An 11,322-nucleotide genomic window follows, 5' to 3' on the forward strand; every position below is an offset into this window, starting at 1 on the left:
GAGAACCCTGACTAATACAGTTAATTAAACAACTATTTTAATTTTTCACTGTTACTAAGACTTAAAAATGGATGTTTTCATGCAAAATTCTGTTCCCTTTACATGAATCCAGTGGTTTTCAATGGGAAGAGTAAGGTAGCTGTCCTTGAGATATTTGCAATATTTGGAGACAATTTTGTTTGTCACAACCTAGGGGAGGATTGATATTGATATCTAATGGGTAAAGCCGAGGGATGCTGCTAGATGTCCTAGAATACACAAGGCAATCCTACTGTCCTCTGCCACTCCAAGTACAGATAACTTTTCAACTCAAAATGTTAACAGTTCTGAGGTTGAGAAAGCCTGCATTAAGATTAGCTCTTTTTAATACTATTGGCAAACAAAAAACTTCTGGGTAATTTGCCATACCTCCTTTTCCTTTTGTAATTTTACTTAATCACCTTGTCAGTGTCCTTATATTTTATTAATTTTTCCACTGTACCGACACTTTTATTACTTAATTTGACTTTTCATTTTCATTAATTCCACCTTTATTATTTCTTTTCTATGTAAATTTCGTTCCTTTTCTTAACTCTCAAGGTATATACTTACTTCATGATTTGCTTTATATATTATTTAACAAGAAAATGAATTGATAACAGATTAAAGTGCTTTGGCTCTTAAAGTTGAGAATAATAGCGTTGGTGATGAGAATTACACAAGGCCATTCCTGTTCTGAAATGGACTAGACTCGGATGAAATTTCTCTAGTGCAGGGCTCCCACTAGATTAAGCTCACCTCTTTCAGTGGTTATTGTTGAAAAGAATTGCTTCTGCCTTGTTCTCTTATGAATAATATAAACTATTGGAAACGTCTTCCAATTCTGATTTTTTTTCCTCACAGGTTATCTTCTACAATGAGGGAGTATACATCTTTAGGGAACAAAGGTCTTTGCCTCTCTGCTCTGCTAGAAGGAGAGAAGGAGATTGTGTGTTGAAGTTATAATGAGGCAAAGGATAGATAGTTTTAGGCAGCAAGGTAATAGATACAAAGATAGATGAGGAAATTCATTTTTAAAAGAACAAGAAGACCCATCTTAAGTGTATGTTATCTTGAGAGTGCTTTTGGCAATGTGATTTTTAAAGCGAGAGCTGAGAGTTGAGTAGGAGTTTTAGTTCTTTGGCTGACAGTTGCCAGGAATTGCATTTCAGGAATTCATGCATGGGAATAAGGAATTAAAGCCTTTGTGGTAAGAAAGTACGTGCTGAAATTGAGGAATGGAAAGATGATTGGTGTAACCAGAGTATGGTGTAGAAGCAACAGAAGACTGTAAGGAGAGGCAGGGAGGTTAGCAAGGGCCACATCAAACAGGAGTATTATAGCGTTCTTTTCCTAAGAGTAATGGTCAAGTCTTTATGGTCAAGTAATGGCATGATGCTTTTTAAAAGATCGTTCAGGGGATAGTGAACTGAGAGTAAGGAAGAGGAGAAGTAGGGAGACAAAAAGGTAATGCTGCAGCCCAGTGAGAGACAATGGTCGTTCACTTCAGGGTACTGGAGGTAGAAACATTGATATGAGTGCATTTGTAGAGTTGGTTTGCCAGAACTTGGTGGCAGATTATTGAGATGGTAAAGAAAAGAGAAAAATTAGGAATAACTTTCAAATGCTACATTAACTAATTAGATACTGTTACCATTTATTGAGATGACAAAAACTATGGAGAGATTTATCCAAGAAGGTCAATTAGTCAGCTTGGGATGTTTCGTTTTGTTTATTTGCCTATTTGCTTTATTTTTTCTGCTTTCCCCCCCCTTTTTTTTAATTCTCTTGTTAGCTACTGAAGAGAATAATTCCCATAGGAAGCTGAACATGTGACTCTGAAACTCAAAGAAGGCAACTGGACTACAGATTCTTTTTTGTGTCCTTGACATACAGATTCCATTATGGTCAGGCGAATGAATGAGTTAATTTAGGAGAAAGTTTTGCCCATAAAAGTGATATCTTAGAATGTAGCCTCAAGGAATCCTGACATTTAGAGGTCAAGCAGAGAATAAGCAGGGGAAAGAGAATTAAGAATTAAGAGAATAACTACAATATTATGTTATCACTGAAGCCAAAAACAAGGAGCAAGAAATTGACTATACCATGTTTGAATAAAACAAAACTTTTTTGCATAAGCCTAGCTTTGCAAACAAAGCATAAAGCTTAATTGATCAATTTACTTTTCTAATTATCTTAATACTATAGTAATTATTTATCTTACTAGTAATAAATTGGTCAGTGGTATAGAGATGCAAGTATAAATGTGGGCTAGAGAAAAGGGAAAATTGAAGGCTATTGAAATTGCATTCTCATAAAACCGTATCAGTGAAAAGCTGAAAACTAAAAGAAAAGCATATGAAGATGTTAATTTTAGGTTTAAAAACACTATTTATTCACATATATTAGTGTTTGAAAATATTATATCGAGAAAATATGTATCTATGTTCTTTATATGTATTCATATTACTTAAAATACAAATGGAATTACACACACATTTTCTGTTATCTGTAATTTTTAATTCATAGTAACTTTCCAATATCAAACTATCAGTTCCATATCAATCCTGGCTGATGCTTTGATGTGTTTTTGAAATATACATGGTTTGACTGGAGCTGTACTTCAAAGAAAAATCGGCCTTTTAATGGAAAAGAACTTTTCTTCTTGTTTAGAGATAAGTATATGAAAGTCACAGACTAGTATAGATAACAAAGGACCTCTCAAAGTGTCAGAAGATCAGACAGCGGGGCAAACTCTATGATTCAGAAGTCTAAATCCTAGTCGCATCTAAGAGAATGACATTTCTTTACCACATCATTAGAAAATTTTCTTAGTTAGGGAATAAAATAGGAAGGCAGGGTTTTTCTGCGTTTGTTATTTCATTTTAATGTCTGTTTATCCTGAAAAGATTTGAGAACACAAGTTCAAGTATTTGGAAGTCCTCCTTGCAATTCACAGTAGACAAGATTCATGACCCAGGTGAAATGTGGATGGATGATGAGTAGAATCTAAGATTTTAGGAAATATTTATCAGTGTTCAGCACATTTTTCTAAACTTACATAATGATCAATTCTGAACTGTTAATACTTTTGTCTGACTTTAACTTACAAGAGTCATTATTTCAATCATGCAGTGAAAACCAAAGGTACTTTAATGATATTATTTTCTGAACATCAGAGCACAGCAAAACATCTTACTATTTAGGCAAAGAATGCTTAGGCATCTTAGAGTATAAGAAAGCAATTTTGTTTTTTAAGCAAAAACTATGTGTTAAAAAAAACTAACATTTTGGGGGTGAATCAAATGGTGTAATTATTCTGTCAGACAGGTACAATAATTAAATAAGCTATTTCATAAATTGAATCATCTTAATATACTCTGTCATATCAAGAATTCCATTATTAAAGAAAACTATGCTATTTGAATAGTTGAAATAGTTTAATACATGGTCATATAACTTCTTCCAACTTAGTTACATGTTGGTTTAATAAGTATATTTTGATTTTGACTTCATGGCATATGTGTATAATCAAAAAACATCTACACCCTAGAAACTAAAGTTCTTCTTAAAGAACATGAGATGGGCACACATTTCTACATTAAGTTTATTTCAGCAACAATATTTGATATACAAGACAAAACTTAGACTAAAACTGCCCATAAAGGCCTAAATTGTCCCTGACAATTTTATTATTTAAACCAGGAAAACAATTAAAAAGGGCAATTTTGGTGTAAATTATATGGAAATATAGGGATAAATATTATTCTATAATATAATGGGAAGTTTTACATTGGTTGCCTAATTTGTATTTCCAGACACTGTTTTCTCTGTATCAAGAAACCCAAACTAGAGTAGACATAATTTGCTTTCTACCGCTTACAACAAAAACTAGTAAAGTTCACCTTGTTGGCTACACCAAGGGCATCAAATCACTGAAGCACTGTGACAATATTCGTCAAGGTTCCAAATTCATTATCTAAATCACACATGCCTCAGATTTTCCATCTAATGCAAGTGTGGCTCTTGCCTCTGAACCCTTGAGATTATCAGACAAGAGCAAAAGGCTCCTATCTCTGTACACACATATGTGCACTTTCAAATGCGGACATCAGAGTGAAGCAGCCACACCCAACCGCAGCAACATCTTTTCTTCTAGTGCATTCATATCCCTAAAGAAGTTTAAATAATATTTAAAAAATAAAGTATTTATTCTCAGGACTTCCTAGGTAGCTTGGAAAAATCCTCTCAGTATTTTTGAAATAAAATACTTTCTTTTAATATATACACATTTGATGTATATTTTTATCATAATATATACAAAAATGTAATAAATATATATTGTAAAATATATATATATACAAAAATATATATTTTTTATTGTAATATCCTGACATTCAACAAAGGATTACATTTTAGAACGAAGCCTAAAGTAAAATATAAAAAGACAATAAAAAATTAAATAACATTTTTAGTGAAAGTCATCTTCACCCATTCTATGATCAAAACTCTAATTATTGTATGAGAACAATTATGAACTGATTACAAGGAAATAACAGCATTGAATGAAAGGCATAGCCGTACATTGCTTATGAAGAATCAAATGCAAACATACTTGGGAACATTCCAACCTTCCACTTGAAGATAAAATTAGTTATGCCAAACAAATGTCTAACTTTCTCCTGTGATTTCTTTATAGGAAAATGGCCTGACAGCATGGATACTTAAGTGGGCTCTCCCACCTGACTGTTTTATTTATCATGCAATAGAGTATGCATCTTTAAATTTAATACCTTCTGAGTTGAAACAACAGAAAGAGATCTATAAAAAGTAAGTCTGCAGAAGCCAGACTCTAACTTAATGAGATATTATTTTACCACTTCTTAAGAAACGTGAACTATAATGACACTGTGGAGGAGAGTGAGAAGTAAAAGAACATTGAAACAAAAATGAACCAAACTGAATTTACCTGTTTCCCAGCCCCAGAGATAATAACTAGAAAATCACATTACTTACAAACATCTGGCCCTGAAATACTTTGGGGGCACCTGGAGTAGTAAAGATTTGGTGTCAGGTTTTTCTCTTTAGTCAATTCATTAAGCTGCAAGGGGCCTAGAATATTAGATCACATTAGTCTCCTAAAATTGCCAAAACAAGTCTGTTTGGATAGGAAAGTACACTTCTTTTTTTTCTGCTAGAAAATAAAGCATTTGCTTTTGATAGTTGGTCTTTGTTCTTTGGTAGAGCCAAGAAATGTGTACTATTTATCAAACTATATTTTAAGTAGGATTTAAAAAACATAATAAAATGAAATGCTTTATGTTTCAGCATTAAATTTGCTGATGTAAATTCTAAAAATGTGAAGATAATTTAAACTTATATTTAGCCTAAGCAGAGATAATAGTTTGGTGAGAGAATATAGATTACAAATTCCTGCATAATAAAATGGACTGATAGGCTATTCCCGGCTACAGAGACGCTGCCTCATTACATTTAGAAAGCATGCAAAGAAGGGGAAAAAAGCTTTTTTTTTTTTTTTCCAATTAATAGTACCATTGTATTTTTATGAAGACAGTATTTTTAGAATCTTTCTAACATGTGATGGGAAAGCCTGATATTGTCAATATAATACTAGGTTTGATATCAACAATTTGAATATGAACACTTAATCTCCAATTCAATGAATGTGAGGATGTAATTTCACTGTCACAAAGTAAACAATTAAGCAACAGGTCTGTATTCTATTTTTTCCTATCTGCCCAGTACCTGAGAGGCAGTTCCTAGAAGTTAGCAGTACACACTTCATAATTATGCTACATGCTGTCACTGATTACTACAGCTGTCCCTGATATGAGAAAGAGTATACAGGAAGTAAAATAGGCCAAATAGGTGTTGTATACTATTATAGAATTAGCCACCAAATGAGTTCTTTTCAGTCCCAATTTTGAAATCAAACTAGGATAATGTGCATTCTCACATAATGGGATCTAGTATACATTTGCTGTTTTGCCACATTATTATTTTAATTCACCAGTTTATTGAGATGAGACTTGCACTTAATAATCATTATGAGCAACATAGTGAACTATATTGATGATATCATGAAAATTGCATTCTCAAAGGAAGAAGGGCAAAGGAGTTCAGAACATAGTCACTCACATGACAAAGTCTGATAGATAAATCCAGCTAAAATCCAAGGCTGAGTTCAACCCTGGAAATTTCTGAGACTTATGTGGGCTCCTACAACCAAGAGCATTTCTTGAAAGGTGAAAAATAAATTGTTATATATACAGACCCTGTCCAAAAGCAAGATGCTCACAGACTGGAAGGTAATATTTCTCATAGAAACCCTAACTGTTCACCATTGCCGTGCATTGTCAGGCAAATGGGCCCTAAATACGTGGACAAAAAAGATCACCCTTGAATGAGGTCCTTATTTATGGAAACACCTGTGAATTTAGAGGAAGAATGAAAATGGGCCATGTAGATGTACACAAAATATGCATACCAGATGGCTCAAGGAACAAGAATGCTAGAGAAGATACCTCAGTCAGATCACTGGAGCCAGTTAATCGATTTTATTAAATAAACTGGCTTTGTGTGTGCTTGGCCATGCACTAAATAAGCAGAATCATAGCACATTTTTGTTGTACCTGACAAAATGGCTGAAGTGATAAGAAACTGCATCCAATGGCAATAGAAAGGAAATCACTTGGAAATGGCTGTGAGTAAAATTCCCCAAAGACAAGAGCCTGCACAAAGCTCGCAAGTGGATATATTAGGCCTCTACCAGGGACCCCAGGAAGCTACAGATGAGTGTTAACTAGGATTGACACCTATTATGCTCTTGGATTCACTTATCCTGTAACACAGGCAACTGTGGAGGACACAATGAGTGGTTTGGAACAGTGAATTATCATTCAAAAAATCTGGACATACTACTTGCAGGCAAATTAGGCATTTTACTGCAGCTAGTATGCAGAAATGAGCACGGAGACATAGTGCCACATAACCTTGTCTCATTCCTCATTCCCCTCCAAGTACAGTGGACCATCTAAACACCTGACAGTCAAAGCATCTGGTAAAAATAAATTTTTAAAGAATTACATGTGTGCCTTCACACTGCCTAAGGGAGGACTCTACTGGAAGGGTGGAGTTGGAGCTAAGAAGAAACATTAGCAAGACTGTAGTGATTACTGGCACTTCGGTTAAGCAGTAGATCTGAGCTGGTAATCCCAACTACTGGGGAAAGGGTGTGGATCAAAACAGTTAATACATAACAATGGGACTGGAAGTTAGCAAATGGAAGAGACCACTAAGTGGACTTCCATGCCAGGAGAGGGTGCAAGCATACTATTTACATGAGAACACCTTAGGGAAAGAAAACACTCCTCTTGCTTAGATCTGGTGCTGACTCATTGGTAATATTGGGAGAAACCTTCAGAGCTGATGTCTATGGAGAGTGGAAATTGGACTCCTGAATCTTTGTAATCTTGCAAATAAATAGTCTATCTGGATAATTCAGAGAAAAGAAGTGCACAGCACATAGGCCCAATGTGCCAGGAGCTGACCATGTAAGTGAATGTACTACCTAGTAAGTAATAATTAGAATTCCAGGTGATTTCTAAGAAAAAGAGAAGCCAGAAAACAGGGAAATATCTTCCAACGTTTAAAATCAAAAGGTCAACTTTAATTGTAAATGCAGAAAACATGTTATAAAAGAACAAAAGTGATTATATGCATTTTTAGATAAAAGAGGAAAAGGTTCACTACTAACTGATCTTTACTAAATAAAATTTAAAAGTACACTTGACCCTTGAACAACAGAGATTTGAACTGCAGGTCCACGTATATGCAGATTTTCTTCTTCCTCTGAAAATTGTTGCCACACCTGAGACAACAAGACCAACCTCTCCTCTCTCCCCTCCTCAGCCTACTCAGAGTGAAGATGATGAGGACAAATACCTTTATGATGATCCATTTCCACTGAATGAATAGTAAATATATTTTTTCTTTCTTATGACTTTTTTTTTTTTGAGACAGAGTCTCGGTCTGTCGCCCAGACTGGAGTGCAGTGGCGCCATCTCAGCTCACTGCTCAGCTCACTTAAACCTCCTGGGTTTAAGTGATTCTCCTGCCTCAGCCTCCCGAGTAGCTGGAACTACAGATGCCCACCACCATGCCCAGCTAATTTTTGTATTTTTAGTACAGAAGGGGTTTCACCATGTTGGCCAGGCTGGTCTCGAATTCCTGACCTAATAACATTTTTCCCACAGCTTATTTTGTTGTAAGAATGTAGTATATAATACATATAGCATACCAAATATGTGTTAATCAACTTCTTATGTTATTGGTAAGGATTCTGCTCAACAGTAGGCTATTGGTAGTTAAGCTTTTGGGGAGTCAAAATTTATAGGATAATTTTCTACTGTTTGAAGAGTCAGCACTCCTAACCCCCACATTGTTCAAGAGTCAATGCTTATAGGTTCCATGAACACTCACTCAAATTTTCAACAGATTTTTTTCTACTTTTCCTTTATGGAACTTGAAAACATGACTGAAATTTATATGGACTTACAAATGACTGAAAGATAGCTAAGATACTCTGAAAAAAAAAACAGACAAATTTTTCAACAGCCAGATATTAAAAATTGTTAAAAAGCTATAGTAATTAAATAAGTGACTTAAATGAAAGATAAAATACACTAGAGTCTAGACACAGGCCCATATATACATAGTCATTTATAACAAGTGTGCTACAGTAGTTTCAAATAGAATAGTGGGAAAGATTGTCTTTACTGCGGTTTCCAACAAATTAAAATCCATAAAACATAGAAAAAAAATGATGCTTAAAAGTTACACAAAAATCAACTTCAAGTAGATGCTAAATCTAATGTAAAAACAGGAATGACAGAGGAAGGAAGAAAATAAGGAAGGAAAAAAGGGAGGAAGAAAGGAAGCAAAGTAGGAAGGGAAGGAGTGAGGGAGGGAGGGAGGGACGGAAGGACAACAATTATAAATAGGACTAATGTGGTATAAGAGAATGTACCAGGAAGAATGTGATATAAAAAAAAGGTTAGTTAGGAAGGTTAGTAATGAGTCTGACTACAGTTTTATTTTCAGGATTTGTATCTGATTTGGTTCTAAGTGTTGAGGCTGGTGAAAGGAAGAATATCTGGAAGAGGGAAGAATGGATACTGGAGGGCTGCTTTGTACAAGTGGAAGACATTGTTGTTGATGGCAAGAGTCATTGATTGGCTGTCACCCAAGGGGCTTCACTGGCTCTTGGTGAATTTGATAGTTTTATTAGCACCTCAAAAGAAGACCAAAGCATCTAGAAACATGGTTTCACACGTAGTAGATGAAGGCAGAATGACAACATTGGTTTTGAATTTAGAATGACACCCATAACTATCACATGGAATGGAATACTCATTCCCCCGCTCACCATTTTGTAGGGATGACTAAATATATGTATGTCTGGTTAGCCTAGGAGAAGAACAAAGGCAGATGATGTAAGTGTTCATAGCACCAGAATAAGCACACTGTGTCCATCCCACAGAGGAATAAAGGACCACACCAAAGACTCTAGAATGCCAAAGTATGTGGATATGTGGATAAGTTTTTCTCCTCTGGCAGCATTCACACGGTCCATTCCAGATTTACCTTTTAACTAACATTTCCAGTAACTTCACAGCTGACCATTCCCATTCTGATTGAAACATCCTTTACATGTGTGGTACATTTAAACAAGGCACAGTCAACTCTGCAGATGTTGAAGTCTTTGTCTTGCTTTATCATGAAATTGCAAACCTATACTTTTAATTCATTGTGCATTAATTTTACTGTTTATATATCTCATAATGAGAGGTGAAGCCAGCTGGACTTCCTGGGTCCATTGGGGACTTGGAGAACTTTTCTGTCTAGCTAAAGGATTGTAAATGCACCAATCAGTGCTCTGTGTCTAGCTAAAGGATTATAAACCCACCAATCAGCACTCCGTAAAAACCCACCAATCAGCACTCTGTGTCTAGCTAAAGGATTGTAAACACACCAATCAGAACTCTGTAAAAATGCACCAATCAGCACTTTGTGTCTAGCTAAAGGACTGTAAATGCACCAACCAGCACTCTGTAAAAACGCACCAATCAGCACTCCGTAAATTGGACCAATCAGCGCTCTGTGAAATGGACCAATCAGCATGATGTGGGCAGGGCCAAATAAGGGAATAAAAGCTGGCCACCTGAGCCAGCAGTGGCAACCCACTTGGGTCCCCTTCCACGCTGTGGAAGCTTTGTTCTTTTGCTCTTCACAATAAATGTAGCTGCTGCTCACTCTTTGGGTCTGCACCACCTTTAAGAGCTGTAACACTTGCCTTCGTGGCTTCACTCCTGAAGTCAGCGAGACCGCAAACCCACTGGCAGGAAGAAACTCCAGACACATCTGAACATCTGAAGGAACAAATTCCAGACACACCTGTAACACTCAACGCGAATGTCTGCGGCTTCATTCCTGAAGTCAGTGAGACCAAGAACCCACCAGACAGAATAAATTCCGGACACAGTAAGACAAACTTCTTCTTATAATTCAATGTACTTTAATAATTCCTTGCTCTTGGCCATAGGCTAACAACATGGTACAAGCCTAGATATAATTTAGTTTCGTACCCATGGCATAAACAAGAATCTGACAAAAATGTTCAATGAATGACTTTGAAGTGTTTGTTAAAGTGAGTATCATAGGGTCTTTAATGCTATTTATCTCACTGAGCTTTGGAGCATAATATTAATATACGTCACATTGCCTTTTGTCACTCAGTGCGGGATTTAGAAACTCCTCAAAACAATCGGAATTTGAAACTTAAAGGACTATTTAAAAAAAATTTTTTTTTAGTATATTCTGTATGTAGTTATATTTTATTCAATTTTGTTGTTGTTGTTGTGGCAGGATCTCACTCTGTTGCCCAGCCTGGAATGTAGTGACACAATCTCGACTCCCTGCAACCTACCTCCCGGGTTCAAGCGATTCTCATGCCTTAGCCTCCCGAGTAGCTGGCACTACTACAGGTGTGTGCCACCATGCCTGGCTAATTTTTCTGTATTTTTGGGAGAGACGGGGGTTTCACCATGTTGGCCAGGCTGGTCTCGAACTCCTGACCTCAAGTGATCCACCCACTTTGGCCTCCCAAAGTGCTGGGATTACAGGTGTGAGCCACTGCACCTGGCCTAGATCTATTTCAGATTTTTCAGTTCCATCATCATGTCAAGCTTTATATCTGTACTCAGGTCTATATTTAGGTAACTG

General features: G+C 36.0%; 1 annotated feature.

Annotated features, from left to right (window-relative positions):
• Nucleotides 9,829–11,028: an enhancer, noted in NCBI's record as "BRD4-independent group 4 enhancer chr18:62338452-62339651 (GRCh37/hg19 assembly coordinates)". NCBI's record gives its function as "activates an origin of replication core promoter dependent on BRD2, P300/CBP, MED14 and CDK7 cofactors, and independent of BRD4, by STARR-seq in HCT116 cells {active_cell/tissue: HCT116}" and the evidence as "EXISTENCE:reporter gene assay evidence [ECO:0000049][PMID:35650434]".

The sequence above is a fragment of the Homo sapiens genome, chromosome 18 (genome assembly GCF_000001405.40).
Source record: "Homo sapiens chromosome 18, GRCh38.p14 Primary Assembly".
NCBI classification, from domain to species: domain Eukaryota; kingdom Metazoa; phylum Chordata; class Mammalia; order Primates; family Hominidae; genus Homo; species Homo sapiens.